The 19152-nt window shown below is 43.2% G+C and overlaps 1 long non-coding RNA gene across 12 annotated transcripts in view; it reads left to right on the top strand.

Moving 5' to 3' along the window:
* Positions 1 to 19152, top strand: part of LOC101928669 (uncharacterized) — a 75950-nt gene that overhangs the window by 11957 nt on the left and 44841 nt on the right. Inside the window, exon 4 of one of the 12 annotated variants that reach the window (XR_007068514.1) lies at positions 6133 to 15972. The exons of the other annotated variants lie outside the window; for them this stretch is intronic. This is a non-coding gene — a long non-coding RNA (uncharacterized LOC101928669). Of the gene's footprint in view, positions 1 to 6132; positions 15973 to 19152 lie in introns of those variants that run through there. 12 annotated transcript variants of the gene reach the window in all.

The following is a 19152-nucleotide window of genomic DNA, read 5'->3' as shown; positions in this document are numbered from 1 at the left end:
GTTTCCATGTAGTTGAGCAGTTTTGAGTGAGATTCTTAATCCTGAGTTCTAGTTTGATTGCACTGTCATCTGAGAGATAGTTTCTTATAATTTCTGTTCTTTTACATTTGCTGAGGAGAACTTTACTTCCAAGTATGTGGTCAATTTTGGAATAGGTGTGGTGTGGTGCTGAAAACATGTATATTCTGTTGATTTGGGGTGGAAAGTTCTGGAGATGTCTGTTAGGTCCGCTTGGTGCAGAGCTGAGTTCAATTCCTGGGTATGCTTTTTGACTTCCTGTCTTGTTGATCTGTCTAATGTTGACAGTGGGGTGTTAAAGTCTCCCATTATTAATGTGTGGGAGTCTAAGTCTCTTTGTAGGTCACTCAGGACTTGCTTTATGAATCTGCATGCTCCTGTATTGGGTGCATGTATATTTAGGATAGTTAGCTCTTCTTGTTGAATTGATCCCTTTACCATTATGTAATGGCCTTCTTTGTCTCTTTTGATCTTTCTTGGTTTAAAGTCTGTTTTATCAGAGACTAGGATTACAACCCCTGCCTTTTTTTGTTTTCCATTTGCTTGGTAGATCTTCCTCCATCCTTTTATTTTGAACCTATGTGTGTCTCTGCACGTGAGATGAGTTTCCTGAATACAGCACACTGATGGTTCTTGACTCTTTATCCAATTTGCCAGTCTGTGTCTTTTAATTGGAGCATTTAGTCCATTGACATTTAAAGTTAATATTGTTATGTGTGAATTTGATCCTGTCATTATGATGTTAGCTGGTTATTTTGCTCGTTAGTTAATGCAGTTTCTTCCTAGTCTCGACGGTGTTTACATTTTGGCATGATTTTGCAGCGGCTGGTACCAGTTGATCCTTTCCATGTTTAGTGCTTCCTTCAGGAGCTCTTGTAAGGCAGGCCTGGTCGTGACTAAATCTCTCAGCATTTGCTTGTCTGTAAAGTATTTTATTTCTCCTTTGCTTATGAAGCTTAGCTTGGCTGGATATGAAATTCTGGGTTGAAAATTCTTTTCTTTAAGAATGTTGAATATTGGCCCCCACTCTCTTCTGGCTTGTAGGGTTTCTGCTGAGAGATCCGCTGTTAGTCTGATGGGCTTCCCTTTGAGGGTAACCCGACCTTTCTCTCTGGCTGCCCTTAACATTTTTTCCTTCATTTCAACTTTGGTGAATCTGACAATTATGTGTCTTGGAGTTGCTCTTCTCGAGGAGTATCTTTGTGGCGTTCTCTGTATTTTCTGAATCTGAATGTTGGCCTGCCTTGCTAGATTGGGGAAGTTCTCCTGGATAATATCCTGCAGTGTTTTCCAACTTGGTTCCATTCTCCCTATCACTTTCAGGTACACCAATCAGATGTATATTTGGTCTTTTCACATAGTCCCATATTTCTTGGAGGCTTTGCTCATTTCTTTTTATTCTTTTTTCTCTAAACTTCCCTTCTCATTTCATTTCATTCATTTCATCTTCCATCGCTGATACCCTTTCTTCCAGTTGATCGCATCGGCTCCTGAGGCTTCTGCATTCTTCACGTAGTTCTCGAGCCTTCGTTTTCAGCTCCATCAACTCCTTTAAGAACTTCTCTCTATTGGTTATTCTAGTTATACATTCTTCTAAATTTTTTTCAAAGTTTTCAACTTTGCCTTTGGTTTGAATGTCCTGCCATAGCTCAGAGTAATTTGATCATCTGAAGCCTTCTCTCAGCTCGTCAAAGTCATTCTCCATCCAGCTTTGTTCCGTTGCTGGTGAGGAACTGCATTCCTTTGGAGGAGGAGAGGCGCTCTGCTTTTTAGAGTTTCCAGTTTTTCTGTTCTGTTTTTTCCCCATCTTTGTGGTTTTATCTACTTTTGGTCTTTGATGATGGTGATGTACACATGGGTTCTTGGTGTGGATGTCCTTTCTGTTTTTTAGTTTTCCTTCTAACAGACAGTACCCTCAGTTTCAGGTCTGTTGGAGTTTTCTAGAGGCCCATTCCCGACCCTGTTTGCCTGGGTATCAGCAGTGGTGTCTGCAAAACTGTGGATTTTCATGATCCGCGAATGCTGCTGTCTGATCGTTCCTCTGGAAGTTTTGTCTCAGAGGAGTACCTGGTCGTGTGAGGTGTCAGTCTGCCCCTGCTAGGGGGTGCCTCCCAGTTAGGCTGCTCGGGGGTCAGGGGTCAGGGACCCACTTGAGGAGGCAGTCTGCCCATTCTCAGATCTCCAGTTGCGTGCTGGGAGAACCACTGCTCTCCTCAAAGCTGTCAGACAGGGACATTTAAGTCTGCAGAGGTTACTGCTGTCTTTTTGTTTGTCTGTGTCCTGCCCCCAGAGGTGGAGCCTGCAGAGGCAGGCAGGCCTCCTTGAGCTGTGGTGGGCTCCACCCAGTTCGAGCTTCCAGGCTGCTTTGTTTACCTAAGAGAGCCTGGGCAATGGCCAGTGCCCCTCCCCCAGCCTCGCTGCTGCCTTGCAGTTTGATCTCAGACTGCTGTGTTAGCAATCATCGAGACTCCGTGGGCATAGGACCTTCCGAGCCAGGTGCGGGATATAATCTCGTGGTGTGCCGTTTCCTAAGCCCGTCAGAAAAGCTCAGTATTAGGGTGGCAGTGGCCCGATTTTCCAGGTGCCATCTGTCACCCCTTTCCTTGACCAGGAAAGGGAACTAACTTCCTGACCCCTTGCGCTTCCCGAGTGAGGCAATGTCTTGCCCTGCTTTGGCTAGTGCACAGTGCACTTCACCCACTGTCCTGCACCCACTGTCTGGCACTCCCTAGTGAGATGAACCCAGTACCTCAAATGGAAATGCAGAAATCACCCATCTTCTGCATCGCTCATGCTGGGAGCTGTAGACCGGAGCTGTTCCTATTCGGCCATCTTGGCTCCTCCTCCCATTATTTTTTAATATTTTCTGAAAATCTTCTTTAAAGAGAGAAAGCCAAATGTCACCCACTTTTTCATAAAACCTTACAGGCAAATCTATTATTCTTTTCTTTTTTGAGATGGATTTTCCCTTTTGTTGCCCAGGCTGGAGTGCAATGGTGCGATCTCGGTTTACTACAACCCCCTGCCTCCCAGGTTCAAGTGATTCTCCAGCCCCAGCCTCCTGAGTAGCTGGGATTAGAGGCATGCCCCACCATGCCCAGCTAATTTTGTGTTTTTAGTAGAGACGGGGTTTTTCCTTGTTGGTCAGGCTGGCCTTGAACTCCTGACCTCATGTGATCCACCTGCCTCGGCCTCCCCAAGTGTTGGGATTACAGCTGTGAGCCACTGCCCCGGGCCATTTTTTTTTAAAGATAGCGTCTTGCTCTGTCACCCTCCTCACCACATTATAGCTCTGGGGGCCAAGCTGCATCACAATGGAAATCATGGAGCCACAGGAAGAATCCACTTAGCTTTGCAAGATGCTGCCCAAGGGGTTGCTTGGAGTAACCAAATTAACATTTTTCATTCTGCTCAGAGCAAAATATATGTGACAAAACATAGACACGAGCCACTTTGCTTAGCACCCAGTGTCAAACTGGTAAGACTCAAACTTGCTCCCAGATAGGCCATGCCATCTCTAAATCTTTTTAGAAGCTTCTGCATGTTAATAGGCATCCCTAGATGAGACTAATTTGGGAGCCATCATTTTTAAATGCACTTCAGGGCATTATTCATTTGGAATGTTACACTATAAGTTATCTTTAGTAAGATTTTGCCATTTCTGTAAGACTTTGCTGCTTCCCAGGCCTAATGAATTAGCCAGAAAGAACTTAGTTTTCCAGAAATTAAGGATCCTATTTTTACCTAATATATTGGCTTTACTCTCAGGTTCCCTTGATTGACTTAGCCAATGATTTTTTTTCCTACCTAAGCGTGTGAGGAAAATGAAACAAAGGGGCAGAACACAAAAATCCCCGTGAATTTCCAAAAGCCAAATTTTACAACCCTCCAATATTATCATTTACTACCACTTTCCTTCTGACCCATTCAGATGTAGGAGGCCTCTAACTGGAACTGGATTCAAGCCAGTTAATTACTGGATCAAATCTGATCCTGGACCCGGTCCCGTTTCTGTCATAACTTCTAAAACATCCAGCCAGTCATGGCTGGATAGCAGTTTGGAACAGAAATTTGCTCAGAGAAACTCAGCTCAAAACACAAATTCATGGAGCTCTGAAATCCGAGAGAGAATTTACCACGATCCCCAGATGCTCTGAGAGGTCAAAGGGCACAAGTGTTACAGAATCCTGAGGCGTCACTTTTCTGCCTGAAACCTCTGGCTGGTGGCGCCTTTACCTGTGTTTTGCTCGGGCCCACTGGGTTCGTTCTGTCCACTTGGCTCATGCTAGTGGTCTGGATCCCACACCTGCCAAGGGTGAGCTGGGTACAGAGCAGTGAAGGGTGTGTGAGCAAGCGAGCATGGGATCTGGCCACTGCACACAGCCAAGCATGCCAGCTGCAGTGGGGTGGGCAGCTCCAGGCACCGCCACAGGTGCCAGCTCCCTGTGAGGCTGCAGCTGGACCAGGCTGACTGCAAACAGCTTCCACTGTGGGTATCAGGGAATGCAGCGGTGCCTGGAAGCTTCGAGATGCAGGAACTGCAGAGCCCCAAATAAGGTGTCACAGCCCTGGCTTGGGGAGCTCCTAGGTCTGGGCTCCCTGAAGGGCCACAGCTCTTCTCTCCTTCTCTCTTCTCTTCTTCTTGCCTGCAATTTGGCAAGCAAGGGGTGCGTTTCAGCCCTGTTTATGTTACACCTCTTTCAGCCCTGCTAGTTGGCAGGTCCCGAGTTCTTGTCCTGAGTCCAGGAAGAATGAGGTATGTGGGCAAGTAGAAGGTGAGCAAGGTGAAGAGGTGCTTTATTGAGCAACAGTACAGCTCAGAGGAGACGTGCAGTGGGTAGCTCCTTTCGGCAGGCAGGTCATCCCAATGTCTGTTCAGCTCTCAGCAGCTGAGAGAGATGCATGGTGGTTAGCTATGCCCACAGTGCCCAGGCTTTTCGAGCTGAGGAGTGCCTTCAAGCCAGTGCTGAGCCACTCTTAGCCCCACCTCAACGTCCCTCCTGTGCTCATCAGTTCCCAAAGTGTGGAGGGGGCCGAGGTGGCAGGGGGCTGGCATGTCAGCACTGCCCTGAGCTTGCACAAACTGGGCTGGGTTGCGACTGTGCCTGGGTTCAACCTCAATTTGGATCCGAAGTTGGAGTGGGCTCTGGGAGCGGAGACATGCCAGGTGGTGGGAGCAGGTATGACTGGGTCTGCGGGGGCAGGGGGGCTTGCTGGGCCTCTGAGAGTGCAAAGATGCCCGGGTTTGCTGTCATGGGTGGATGGCTGCAGCTGTGCCTGGGAGGGTGGGGCTCCTGCCTGCCAATTTAGAAGGGGTGGGTCTCTCACCTGTTCCTGGCTCCCACTAACTTTGAGGAGTTCACAGCCCCAGCCACTCCTCCCCACTGCAGCCAGTGTCTCCGTAGCAACTGCTCCACATGGGCCACTGCTGCCATCATAGAGCGGTCCTTGCAGGTGCCTTTCTTGTACCTCAGCACTCCTGGGGGTCATTAGAAGCCCTAGCAACACTGCTCACCACACTATAGCTCCGGAGGCCCTAGCAGTCCTGCTCCCACAGATCCCACTTCTGACACCATCTATTAAAAGAAAATCTTCAGCTGAATTAAATTTAAAGGAACTTAATTGAGCAATGAATGATTCACGAATCAGGCAGCCCCCAGAATCACAGCAGATTTGGTGAGACTCCAGCACAGCTACATGGTGGAAGATTTATAGACAATAAAGGGAACGTGATGTACAGAAATCTGAAGTGAGGAGTGAGGTCCAGAAGCAACTGGGTCCGTTACAGTTCTCAGCAGTGAGGTCCAGAAACAACTGGACTGGTTACAGTGCTCAGCATTTGCCTTATTTGAACACAGCTGAACACTCAGCAGTGTGTGAGTGGCAGAAGTTTGGCTGTTGGGATTGGCCAGGACTCAGCTATAGTTACAGGTGCATACTCCAAAGTTAGGTTATCAGTCTTTCTACCTATTAAGTTAGGTTGCAGTTTGTCCACAGGGACTCAAATCTAGAAGTACAGAGTCCTTCCCAGGCCATATTTAGTTCACTGTAACAGTTCCTATTATGACCTCACTGACAGTTCTTTTTCTCTGAATTTTCCTTTCTTCTCAACAGCTTGTCCAAATGTTCCATTGGTCCCTGTTCATCCCGCCCTGCAGCTCTCCTTGACTGATTCTGCCCTTTGTGGTTTGCAGTCCTGTTTCTCTACAGCTTGGACCCCTTCAATCTTTCCATCATAGGTTTAACTCTCTGTTGAATTCTTATTTGTAGCTACGCAAATGTTACCTTAAGCTAAAAAAATTCAAAGTGAAAGCCACATCCTCCTCTCTTCCCTTATGTGTATGGTATTACTACCATGCAGCCAGTGACCCAAAATGGGATTTTTTCTGGGCTTTTCTTGCTTAGATTCAGGCTCATCTGGTGTCAAGCCTTGTTACTTTTGTTTCCTTGTTCTTTTATTTTTAATTTTTTTTCTTTTGAGACAGAGTTTCACTCTTGTTGCCCAGGCTAGAGCGCAGTGGTGTGATCCCGGCTCACTGCAGCCTCCACCTCCCGGGTTCAAGCAATTCTCCTGCCTCAGCTCCTGAGTAGCTGGTATTACAGGCATTTGCCACCACGCCTGGCTAATTTTGTATTTTTAGTAGAGATGGGGTTTCTCTGTTTTGATCAGGGTGGTCTCGAGCTCCCGACCTCAGGTGATCTGCCCACCTCGGCCTCCCAAAGTGCTGGGATTACAGGCCTGAGCCACCGTGCCTGGCCTGCTTGTTGTTTTCATCTCATCCTGATTTCTGAATACAGGAGAGGAGCTGAGTTGGTGTTCACTAACAAGCACAGAAGCTTTGTTACATTTACAGTGTCATTCTTGGCAAAACCTGAATGGTATGTTTGTGGGGTGATGAGGTTCAGTCCCCTGTGACCTGTGCATCTGGCCAACACTGTGGTGACATCCTTAGGAATCCATGGGGAGAGACAAAGCATTCAGGAGTTAGTGGGTCATGTTTGACAAGGGCCAATAAAGAAATATGCAAAGACAAAAAACAAGAAGAACATTATCATATTTTATACCTTTTGTTTATATAAATTTATGTCAATGATTCTAGCTTATGTTAATATGCAATGTATACAATATGCTAACATATACAATATATGTTTATAGTTTAAACATTTCTGTCATGTTTTCAGATTCTTTAAAGATTATATTACACTTCCTATTTCAGATAGCTGTTTAAAATGAGTAAGGAAAAACGGATGTGTGCATCAGTTCTAACTGTTTATGGACTAAAACTAGTTGATTTCTTGGTTAAGAACAAAAAGTGACAACCTAATTAACTGAAAATTTTAAGTAGGCAATTATGGTTTTAGCTTTAATGTAAAATATTAACTATGCTCCATTCTTGCATTTTTAACCTAATACTCAATATAAATCGCCACATGCCATGTTTCAGATCAAGGTTCTACTTGTGATCTCTCATGAGTTTTTCAAGGTTTTAATTATCTGAGATGTAACAATGTACCCGTAACCTTACTGGCTTAAACCAGGAATTTATTCTTTTTACATGTCACAATTTTCTGGGTCAAGACACTGGACAGAGCGGTGTGGGTTGGTTGCTTCATGATGTCCCTGGTCTCATCTGGAAGGACTCTAGTGGCTGGGGACGTGAAGCAGGCACCCAGAAGGACTCTAGTGGCTGGGGACACGGAGCAGGCACCCAGCCCTCTCTTTGTGGCCAGCACGGACTTCCTTCCAGTCTGGTAGCATCAGGTAGTCAGGTTTGTCTGGCTTCTCCCAGGGTGTGTGTCCAAGAGGCCCAGGCAGAAGCTGTAAGGTCTCTCATGATCATCCCTCAGAAGTCCCAGAGCATCTCTCCTGCCACACTGTCCAGTTGTACTCATCACTGAGACCAGCCATGATTCAAGGGGGAAAGGTGATTAGATTCCACCTCTTGATGAGAAGCATAGTAGGAACCTGCAGCAGTCTTTAATAAACCACAGCTTGTCCTCTGGCCACAAACTATTAACGTTTCTCCCACATGCAAATTATGCTTTGCCCCTCTCAAGAGCCCCAGAATGGTTTTCCTTATGGCACTGGCTAGTAGCCCAACTGAATCCTGAATCAGGTTGTGGTGGCTTGTCATCTGCACCCACACACACTCAGCTGCAGTGAGGACTGAATCAGGTTGTGGTGGCCTGTCATCTGACCCCCCACACACAGCCACAGTGGGGACTGAATCAGGTTGTTGTGAGCTATCATCTGAGCCCACAAACTCAGCCGCAGTGAGGGGACTGCTGTGAAAACAGTCGACATTTCCCTTTAGAAGCTTTGGTGGGAGGCAAGAGGGAAGTGCTGCCCTGCAGGCCCCGTCTAACAGTTGGTCATTCCCATGGGGCGCCTGTTACAGTTCTGTGATTAGTGCCCAGTCCTGGTCCCTGAAAACGGCGCCCAGTCCTGGTCCCTGAGAATGGTGTTTGTGTCCTTTTACTCCTCCCTCTGGGCTTTTGTCATTCTCCATGTTCTTTTTCCTTCAGTGCCTGGGTTGCCGTTGACCAGCTTTCCCTGCCTTTTTCTTATGGTCAATAGGGTATTCAATGGCTTCTTTTTCATTTTTTTTCCTTTTCTTTTCTTTTCTTTTTTTTTTACTTTGGCCTTTTGAGACAAGAAATTATTTCTTTATATTTTCTCTAAATTCTGTTTGAAAACTGAACCTTCTTCTTTAGATCATGTCCCTCTCCTGTCATATTTATTCAGTGACAGTTAGGGGAGGCTGGTAGCACTTTCCATGTTCTTCCCAGATGTCTCCTTAGGCAGATCCCTGAGATGGTGCAGTGCCCTTTCAGTTTCCATGTTGTGGCCATAGTTTTCCCACAGTCCCTCAGCAAGTAACTCTCAGACCTTTTCTCCAGTTTCCAATGACATTTTCTCACCGTCCTTCAGGCCCTGACCAAGAGTCTTGATGCCCTTCCAGGTTGCATGAATGGTCTCCTTGAGGCCCAGTTACAGGTCAGCCTCACAGTCGTGTCACATATTGTAGCTTCTGATTACCACAGCAGCTCATTTCCAGCTGCCATATTCTGTTCCAGTTATCTATTCTGAAGTAAAACAACTCATTATTACTTGTTTTTTGGCTTAGAGAGTCTTGGTGGCCAGCTCATCTCACACACAGTTGCAGCCAAGCTGGATTGTGTGAAAGCACAGTGGGGTGGTGTGCAGGGTGGCTCACTAGTGGTTGGGAGTGGATGTTGCTGGAGGCTCACTAGTTGTTGGGAGTCAGTGTTGCTGGAGGCTCAGTGGGGGATGTCAATGCATGTAGCTAGTCATGGACTGGCCTTGTGGTTTCCATCATGAGGTCTCAGGGGAGTGGGATTTCCTGCCTGGTGACTGGCTTTCTCCTGGGTAAGTGTTCTGTTTTCTCAGCCTGGCTTCTGAAGTCCCCAAATACCACCTTTGTCACCTTCTGTTGGCCAAATAAGTCAGTAGTCTGGTCAAGGTTTAAGGGGAATTGGTTCTCACAGAGAGAGGAGCAGGAAAGAATTTGTCACCTTTAGTCTACCAGAAATGAGATTTTTATAACAAGTTTATTCCAAATACATTCCAGTTCCCCTTGTGAATACTTTTTTGACTCACAGGGTATTTCAAAGTTTATTACTTGGTTTTCAGACATTTGAGGCTTTTCTGGATATCAATTTGTTGTTGGTTTCTAATTTAATTTCAAGTGTTCAGACAACATCCTTTGTATACTATTTCAGGCTTGAACCTTTTCTCAATCCATCGACATACAGTCTATCTTGGCACTGCCAAGTACCATTTGGGTCAGGATTTTGTCATTTAGATCCGTATTTTTCCTATATTTTTATCTGGTTGTTCCGTCAGTTACTGAGAGAGCAGTATTAATTCACCAGCTATAATTTTGGATTGTCAATTTCCTGCTTTTGTTCTGTTGTTTTTGATTCACATACTTTGAGGCTCTGTGTGTGTGTGTGTAGTTTGTGTGCACTTTGAGGCACAATTTATAATTGTAACATCATCCTCTCTGATTCTTTTATTTTTATTAAATTACCCTGTTTATTTCTGGTGATATATTTTGTTCTGAAGCCTCTTTCATCTAGTGTTAACATCTCTGTTGAAGCTTTTTATGATTAGTGTCTGGATAGCATATTTTTATGTTTAGCATCTGCATAGCATATTTTTTCTCATACTTTGTGTCTTTGTGTTTAAATTGTGTCTCTGTGGATGCCATATTGTTGGGTCTTGCCTTCCTCTCAGGTCTGGCAGTCTCTGTCTTAAGTAGAGTATTTGTCCACTTACATTGTAACTAATCATTGCTAAGGTTGGATTTAGGTCTGCCATTTTTCTACTTATTTTCTATTTGTTTGTTTATTTTTTTTTAAGACAGGGTCTTGTTCTGTCACCCAGACTGTAGTGCAATGGTGCAATCTTGGCTCACTGCAACCTCTGCCTCCCAGGCCCAACCAATCCTCACTTGAGCCCCCTGAGTAGCTGGGACTACAGGTGCATGGCACCACACCTGGCTAATTTTTATATTTTTGTAGAGATAGGGTTTTGCCATGTTGCACAGGCTGGTCTTGAACTACTGAGCTCAAGCAATCTACCCACCTTGGCCTCCCAAAGTGTTCAGATTACAGGCATGAGCCACCATGCCTGGCCTTCGTCTGTCTTTTGATCTTCTATATATTCTTTCCTAACTTCTTTTGGGTTAAATATTTCTAAATATTCCAGTTTGATTAATCTTTTGGCTTTTGGAAATAATTTTTTATAGGCTGGGCATGTTGGCTTATGCTCATAATCTCAGCTCTGTGGGAGGCCAAGGGAGGTGGATTGCTTGAACCCAGGAGTTTGAGACCAGCCTGGGCAACATGGCAAAACCCTCTCTACAAAAAAACCAAACCAAAATTTAGCCTGACATCTTGGTGTGCACCTGTAGTCCTAACTATTTGGGAGGCTGAGGTGGGAGGGTTGCTTGAGCCTGGGAGGTTGAGGCTGCAATGAGCTGTGATCATGCCATTCCACTCCTGCCACGGCAACAGAGTAAGACCGTGTGTCAAAAAAGATCATTTTTTATAAATAATTTATAATTTCGAATTTTGGTAACAAACACATACCTTAAAATTTACCATCATAACCAGTTGTAAGTATACAGTTTTGTAGAGTTAAGAATATTTACATTGTTGTGTAGCAGATTTCTAGATTTTTTTTTATCTTAGAAAACTCTATACCCATTCAACAACTATTAATTTCCCCTTCCTTCCACCTCCTGGCAAGTACTATTCTACTTTGTGTTTCTAAAAATTTGGCTTATATACCTAGGGTTTTATAATATTTGTTTTTTAAGTAGGTTCCATGTTATGTGCAGATGTGTCAGGATTTTCTTCCTTTCTATGGCTGAATAATATTTCTTCATATATATATATTTTCTCTCTCTATATATATATATGTATATTCTTTTGTTTATCCATCTATTCCTGGATGGACGTTTTGGTTTCTTCCACCTCGTGGCTATGTAATGCTCCTGTGAACACAGGTGTGCACATATCTGTTTGAGGTCCTGCTACTAGTTATTCTGTCTCTGTAGAAGTTGGATGGCTGGATCATATGGTCATTTTATTTTATTTTTTTGAGGAGCCAGTTAATATTTCCACCAACAGTGTTCAAGTGTTTCAGTTTCACCTGCACTTGTTACTTTCTGTTGGGTTTGAAGTGATGTCCCATTGTGGTTTCTATTTGCATTTCTCTAATGATTAGTGATGTTACACATCTTCTCATATATCTCATGTATCTGTTGGCTATTTGTATATCATCTTTGCATCTTTGGATGAATGTTCTTTGTCCATTTTTTAATCACTTTATTTTGTTGTGTTGTAGCTGGGTTTTTTGGTCATGAGCATTCATTTATCTCACAGTTCATTCTTGTTACTTGGGCCAGGGTCATGATCATTCATTATCTCTCAGTTCATCCTCATTACGTTGGGCAAACAGTCATGCTGCAGGGTATAGATTATGTTATTCTGTTACTTTCAGGTAGAATTCGGGTCTAGGTTCTAATTGTTTCTAAGTTTAGATTCTGAATGAGAATCAGCAGAGGTAGACCACTGCTGCTGAGGCCTGGGGATTGCTGGGAAAAAGGCAGGAAACAGATACTGACCTGACCATGGAGGGTTTATGTTTCACGGCTCCCATCTGGGTACCCAAGGAACCTACATGTAGCTCGTGTGTGGAGAGCCTACATTGCCCACTCAAAGCAATTGAGGATGGAACAGTCTTGGGGCTGGAGCTCATTATTTGGAATGATAACCACATCTGCACAGAGAGGACCTGATAAGATGTTGTCCTTCCATGTATATCTGGGAATCCTGTGTAGGGTCTCTCTGTAAGGACAGGGGCAGTGTTGGCTCCTTGGCCTCTAGTTAGCTTCACAAGTAGTCTAGTAAAGGCTTTGCAAACTTGTCACCATCTGTGGACATTCTGGCCAGCTCTTGTTTTCACCCTACTGACTTCTTCAGACACTAGGCTTTTGCTTTAGACCATTCATGGTTTTCTTCCTCTTCAAATCAGTAATCAATGAATCGCCTTCAAGTCAATAAATTTCCACTCCTTTAGGAAACCCTGATCTTCTGGTCACACCAAGGTTTAATTAACTGGTTTGATTGTTTTTCTGTTTTCTTGGATTTTTTTTCCTTCTTCCTGGAGGTTTCTAGTAATTCTAGTTTGATGTCTCACTTTCTCCATTTTTTATTTCTTAGTTTTCTTCTGTGATTATTTTCACTGCAGCTGCAGGGCCTAATCCTGGGTTGGCAGAGAACTAGCACTTACTCTGCCCTAATTGGAATCCAGGAGAGATAGCAGGTTCCCTAGTGTGAAAATGTGTTTGCTCCTCTCTGCTTCTGGTAGTCTCTCTGTAGGAGTTCTTTACGCATTCTGAATGTTCACTTCTTATGAGATACATGATGTGCAACTATAGGTTGAATGTCTCTGATCCAAAAATCTGAAATCCCAAATGCTCCAAAGTCTGAAACTTTTTGAGTGCCAACATGACACTCAAAGGAAATGCTTATTGGAGCATCTCAGACTCAGGTGTTTGAATTTGAGATCCTCAACCAGTAAGAATAATGCAAATATTACAAAATCTGAAACACATCCCAAGCATTTCAAATAAGGGACACTCAACTGGTATTTTTTTTAATTTTACAGTTTGCCTTTTACCCTGTTGGTTGTGACCTTTGAGGTACAGAAGTTTTTAGGTTTGATATATTTTTGCTTTTACTGCCTGAGCTTTTAATGTCATATCCTAAAAATTATTGACAAATTCATCGTCATAAAGCATTTTCCAAATTTGTTTTCCCTAGGAGTTTGATAGTTCTAGTTTTACATTTAGGTTTATAATTCACTTTGAATTGATTTTAACGTGGTGTAAGGTAAGAGTCCAACTTCATTGTTTTGCATGTAGTTATACAATTTTCCCATCACCACTTGTTGAAGAAACTGTGCTTTGCCATTGAGTGGTCTTGGCATCCTTCTGGAAGATCATCGGACCATATATGCCAGGGTTGGTTTCTGAGGTCTCTGTTGTGTTGGTCCATAAGTGTGTCAAGAGTGTCTTTATGCCATGACCACATTTTTTTTTTTTGGCTTATTGCAGTTTTGTAATTGCTTTGAGACCTTTAATTTTGTTCTGTTTCAAGATTGATTTGCCTATTCATGGGCCCTGGAGATTCCATATGAGTTTTAGGATAGGTTTTTCTGTTTATCAAAAATGTCATTGGAATCTTTATAAGGATTGTATTGAATCTAGGTCACTTCGAGTAGTGTTGACATCATTCCAAGATGAAATCATCTAATTTGCAAACCCAGCTTTTCTTTTCATTTATTTGTGTTTAATTTCTTTTAACAGTGTTTTGTAGTTTTCTGTGTTCAAATCTTTTGCCCTCTTGGTTAAGCTTATTTCTAATTTTTATAATGCTGTTGTAAATATAATTTTTTTTTTTTTTTGAGATGGAGTCTTGCTCTGTCTCCCAGGCTGGAGTGCAGTGGCACTATCTCAGGTCACTGCAACCTGCACCTTCCTTATTCAAGCGATTCTCCAACCTCAGCCTCTCAAGTACCTGGGATCACAGGTGCGCGCCACCATGCCCAGCTAACTTTTTGGTATTTTTAGTAGAGACAGTGTTTCTCCATGTTGACCAGGCTAGTCTTGAACTTGTGACCTCAGGTGATCTGCCCGCCTCGGCCTCCCAAACTGCTGGGATTGCAGGCATGAACCACTGCACCCAGCCAAATGTCATTCTTTTTAAAAATTTCTTTTCTTTTGTTTTCTCTTTCTTTTCTTTTCTTTTCTTTCTCTCTCTTTCTTTCCTTTCTTTCTTTTTTTTGAGACGGTGTCTCACTCTGTTTCCTAAGCTGGAGCACAGTGGCACAATCTCAGCTGACTGCAACCTCCACCTTCCAAGTTCAAGCAATTCTTCTGCCTCAGCCTCCCAAGTAGCTGGGACTACAGGTGTCTGCCACTATGCCCAGCTAATTTTTGTATTTTTAATAGCGATAGAGTTTTACTATTTATATTGGAGATGGGGTTGACCCAGCTGGTCACGAACTCCTGACCTCAGGTGGTCCACCCGCCTTGGCCTTCCAAAGTGCTGGGATTACAACTGTAACCCACTGCACCTGGCCTCTTTTTAAAATTTTATTTGCAGATTGTTCATTGTTAGTTTATAGAAATGGAACTGACTTGTGTGTGTTACTGTATCCTGAAACTTTGTTGAATTTCATTATTCTACCAGTATTTTGTGGAATTTCAGGATTTTTACACATTACATCATGTTGTCTGTGAACAAAATTTTGTACTTTTTCCTTTCCAATTTGCATGCTTTTTATTACTTTCTCTTGCCTAATTATTCTGAGTAGAAATTCCAGTACTGTGGTGAATAGAAGTGGCAGGAAGAGATGTTGCTATCTTATTCCTGATCCTAGAGGAAAAGATTTTAGTTTTTCACCATTCAGTATGATGTTAGCTGTGAGCTTTTCATGTATAATCTTTATTTACTGAGGAGTTTCCATATATTACTAATTCTTTGAGTGTTTTTATTACAAAAGGTGTTCATCTGGCTCTGGAACCAGATAAATGTTGACCTGATAGAATGGATTGGAATGTCCCCTTCTGGTTTTTGAACATTTTTGGAATATTTTGCAAAGGGCTGGCATTAATTCTTCTTGAAATGTTTGGTAAAATTTTCCAGTGAAGTTATCTGGACCTGGAATTTTCTTTTTTGGGGGGTTTTTGATTACTGGTTGAATCTTCTTACTAGTTACAGGTCTCTTTGGATTTTTTATTTCTCCATGATGCAGTATGGTGGTTTGTGTTTCTAGGAATTTATAAATTTATTCTAGGTTGCCCAGTTCTGTGGCATATGGTTGCTCACATTAGTCTCTTGTAATCTTTTTCATTTCTGTGGAATCTGTTGTACTGTCACCTCTTTTATTTATGATTTTAGTATTTGAGATTTCTCTTTTTTTCTTAATATAGCTGTGAGTTTTAAAATTTTTATTGATCTTTAAAAAAACAAACTCAGTGGTTTTTTTTTCCTTTTTTTCTGGTCTTATTCTGCTTATCTCTGTTCTAATCTGTTATTTTCTTCCTTTTGCTTGGTTTGTCATTAGTTTTTTTTTTTTTTCCCTTTAGGTGTAATGTTAGGTTATTGATTTGAGATCTTTCTTCTTTTTAATTTAATCACCTGCAGCTATAAGCTTCCCTTTAGCATGGCTTTGAGATCTTTCTTCTTTTTAATTTAAGCATCTGCGGCTGTAAGCTTCCCTTTAGCACTGCCTTTGTTGCCTCCTCCTGAGTTTGGGTATGTCATGGTTTTGTTTTCATTTGCTTAAACATTTTTTTTGTCCTATTGTAATATAATTGTGTTGTTTTTAATAGAGGTAATTAATGAAACACATAATGAATTGTGCTTCTGTTTTTATAATATTTTAAGCATTCTTAACTCAGAAATGTAAATTTTAGAAAAAAATTCCAGGCCAGGCACACTGGCTCACACCTGTAGTCCCAGCACTTGAGGAGGCCGAGGTGGGAGGATCATCTGAGGTCAGGAGTTGGAGACCAGCCTGGCCAACATGGTGAAACCCTGTCTTTACTAAAAATAGAAAAAAAATATATAAAAGCTAGCTGGGTGTCATGGCGGGTGCCTGTAATCCCAGCTACTCTGGAGGCTGAGGCAGGAGAATCACTTGAATCTGGGAGGCGGAGGTTGCAGTGAGCTGAGATTGCACCACTGCACTCCAGCCTGGGTGACAGAATGAGTCCATCTCAAAAAAAAAAGAAAAAAGAAAAAACTTGAGACATATTTATTTGTATTTCAATTTAGAAACTATGATCTCCTAAGTGTATTGACACAGCAACCTGACATAAAGATAAAGAATAATAAGTATATAACAAAACGGAAACTTGCAAATACCTTTTTTTATTAATTTTTAATTATATATATTTAAAAATTGCCGGGTGCAGTGGCTTACACCTGTAATCCCAGCACTTTGGGAGGCTGAGGTGGGCAGATCACATGAGGTCAGGAGTTTGAGACCAGCCTGGCCAACATGGTGAAACCTCATCTCTATTAAAAATCAAAAAATTAGCCAGGCGTGATAGCATGCATCTGTAGTCCCAGCTACTCAGGAGACTGAGGCAGCAGAATTGCTTGAACATGGGAGGCAGAGGTTGCAGTGAGCCAAGATAGTGCCACTGCACTCCAGCCTTGGTGACAGAGTGAGACTCTGTCTCAAAAAAATAAAAATTGTCTGGGCACAGTGGCTCACACCTGTAATCGCAGCATTTTGGGAAGCTGAGGCAGGCAGATCACGTCAGGAGATCGAGACCATCCGGGCTAACACGGTGAAATGCCATCTCTACTAAAAATACAAAAAATTAGCCGGACGTGGTGGCGGGTGCCTGTAGTTCCAGCTACTCCGGAAGTTGAGGCAGGAGAATGGTGTGAACCTGGGAGGTGGAGCTTGCAGTGAGCTGAGATTGCACCACTGGACTCCAGCCTGGGTGACAGAGCGAGACTCTGTCTCAAATAAAATAAAATAAAATAAAACTAAGGTGTGGTTGACATACAAAAATTACACATATTTAATATATACCTTTGTGTGTGTGTGTGTGTGTGTGTGTGTGTGTGTGTGTGTGTGTGTGTGTTACGGAGGTTTTACTCTTGTTGCCCAGGCTGGAGTGCAGTGACACGATCTCAGCTAGCTGCAACCTCCACCTCCCGGGTTCAAGCAATTCTCCTGCCTCAGCCTCCTGAGTAGCTGGGATCGCAGGCGTGCGCCCCGACACCCGGCTAATTTTTGTATTTTTTTAGTACAGACAGGGTTTCACCATGTTGGCCAGGCTGGTCTCGAACTCCTGACCTCAGATGATCCACCTGCCTCGGTCTCCCAAAGTGCTGGGATTACAGGCGTGTGACACCGAATATATACATCTTAATGAGTTTAGAGATAAGTATTCGCCCCAGGACTCATCACAACAAATAATGCCGTAAACTTGACCATCACTCCCCATATATTTCTCATTCTGACCCTTTTTAAAAAATGAGACCGGGAGTGGTGGCTCACGCCTGTAATCCCAGCATTTTGCGAGGCCGAGGCGGGTGGATCACGAGGTCAGGAGATCAAGACCATCCTGGCTAACACAGTGAAACCCCGTTTCTACTAAAAATACAGAAAATTAGCCAGGCGTGATGGCGGGCACCTGTAGTCCCAGCTACTTGGGAGACTGAGGCAGGATAGTGGTATGAACTCGGGAGGCAGAGCTTGCAGTGAGCTGAGATTGTGCCACTGCACTCCAGCCTGGGCAACAGAGTGAGACTACGTCTCAAAAAAAAAAAATGAGATGACCATTTCACCTAAAATATACCCTCTTAAGTTTTATTTTAAGTGTACAATACAGGACGGCCATGCATCAGAGATATATGTGGGTTTGGTTCCAGACCACTGCAATAAAGTGAATTATACAATTTCTTTTGGTTTTCCAGTGCATGTAAAAGTATGTTTATACTGTGTTGTATAAAGTGTGCAATAGCATATGTCTACAAAGTGTTCACACTTTAATTTACAAATACTTTATTGTTAACAAGTGCTAACAGTCATCTGAGCCTTCAGAAAGCTGCAGTCTTTTTGTGTGTGCGTGACAGGGTTTTACTCTGTGGCTCAGGCTAGAGTAATTGCAGTCTCAACCTCATGCTCAATCAAACCCCCACCTCAGACTCCTGACTAGCTGGAACTACAGATACATGCCACCATGACCAGCTAATTTTTGTATTTTTTTTTTTTTTGTAGAGATGGGGTTTTGCCATGTTGCCTTGACTTCCTGGGCTCAAGCAATCTACCCACCTTGGCCTCCCAAGGTGTTGGGATGACAGGTGTGAGCCACTGCACCTGGCCAAGTTTCAGTCTTCTTGCTGATGGAGGGTCTTGCCTTAATGTAAGGTGGTGGTTGCTGAGCGTTGGGGTGGCTGTGGCAATTTCTTAAAATAAGACACCATTGAAGTTTGCTGTGTCAATTGACTCTCCCTTTCACAAAAGAATTATCTGTAGCATACGATGTTGTTTGATAGCTTTTTACCCACAGTAGAACTTTCAAATTGGATTCAATCCTGTCAAACCTTCGTACAGCTGTACCAACTAAGTTTATGTATTATTGTAAATCATTGTGTCAATCCTGTCAAGCCCTCCTTCTGCTGTACCAACTAAGTTTATTCTAAATCTGTTGTCATCTCAACAATGTTTACACTGTCTTCACCACGAGTAGATTTCATCTCAAGAAACCACTTTCTTTGCTCATCCGTGGAAGCAACTCATCCACTCACGTTTTCTCCGGAGGCTGCTGCAGTCTCACCAGATCTTCAGGCTCTGTCTCTGATTCTAGTGCTCTTGTTATTTCCACCATATCTGCAGTTACCTCCTCCACAGAAGTCGTGAACCCCTGTGTCATCTGTGAGGGTTGGAATAATCTTCCCAACTTCTCTCTCTCTCTCTTTTTTTTTTTTTTTTTTGAGATGAAGTCTTGCCTGGGCTGGAGTGCAGTGATGCGATCCCAGCTCACTGCAACCTCCACCTCCCAGGTT

Source organism: Homo sapiens (genome assembly GCF_000001405.40).
Source record: "Homo sapiens chromosome 3 unlocalized genomic scaffold, GRCh38.p14 Primary Assembly HSCHR3UN_CTG2".
Taxonomy (NCBI): domain Eukaryota; kingdom Metazoa; phylum Chordata; class Mammalia; order Primates; family Hominidae; genus Homo; species Homo sapiens.
This window is presented reverse-complemented; position numbering and strand designations above follow the sequence as displayed.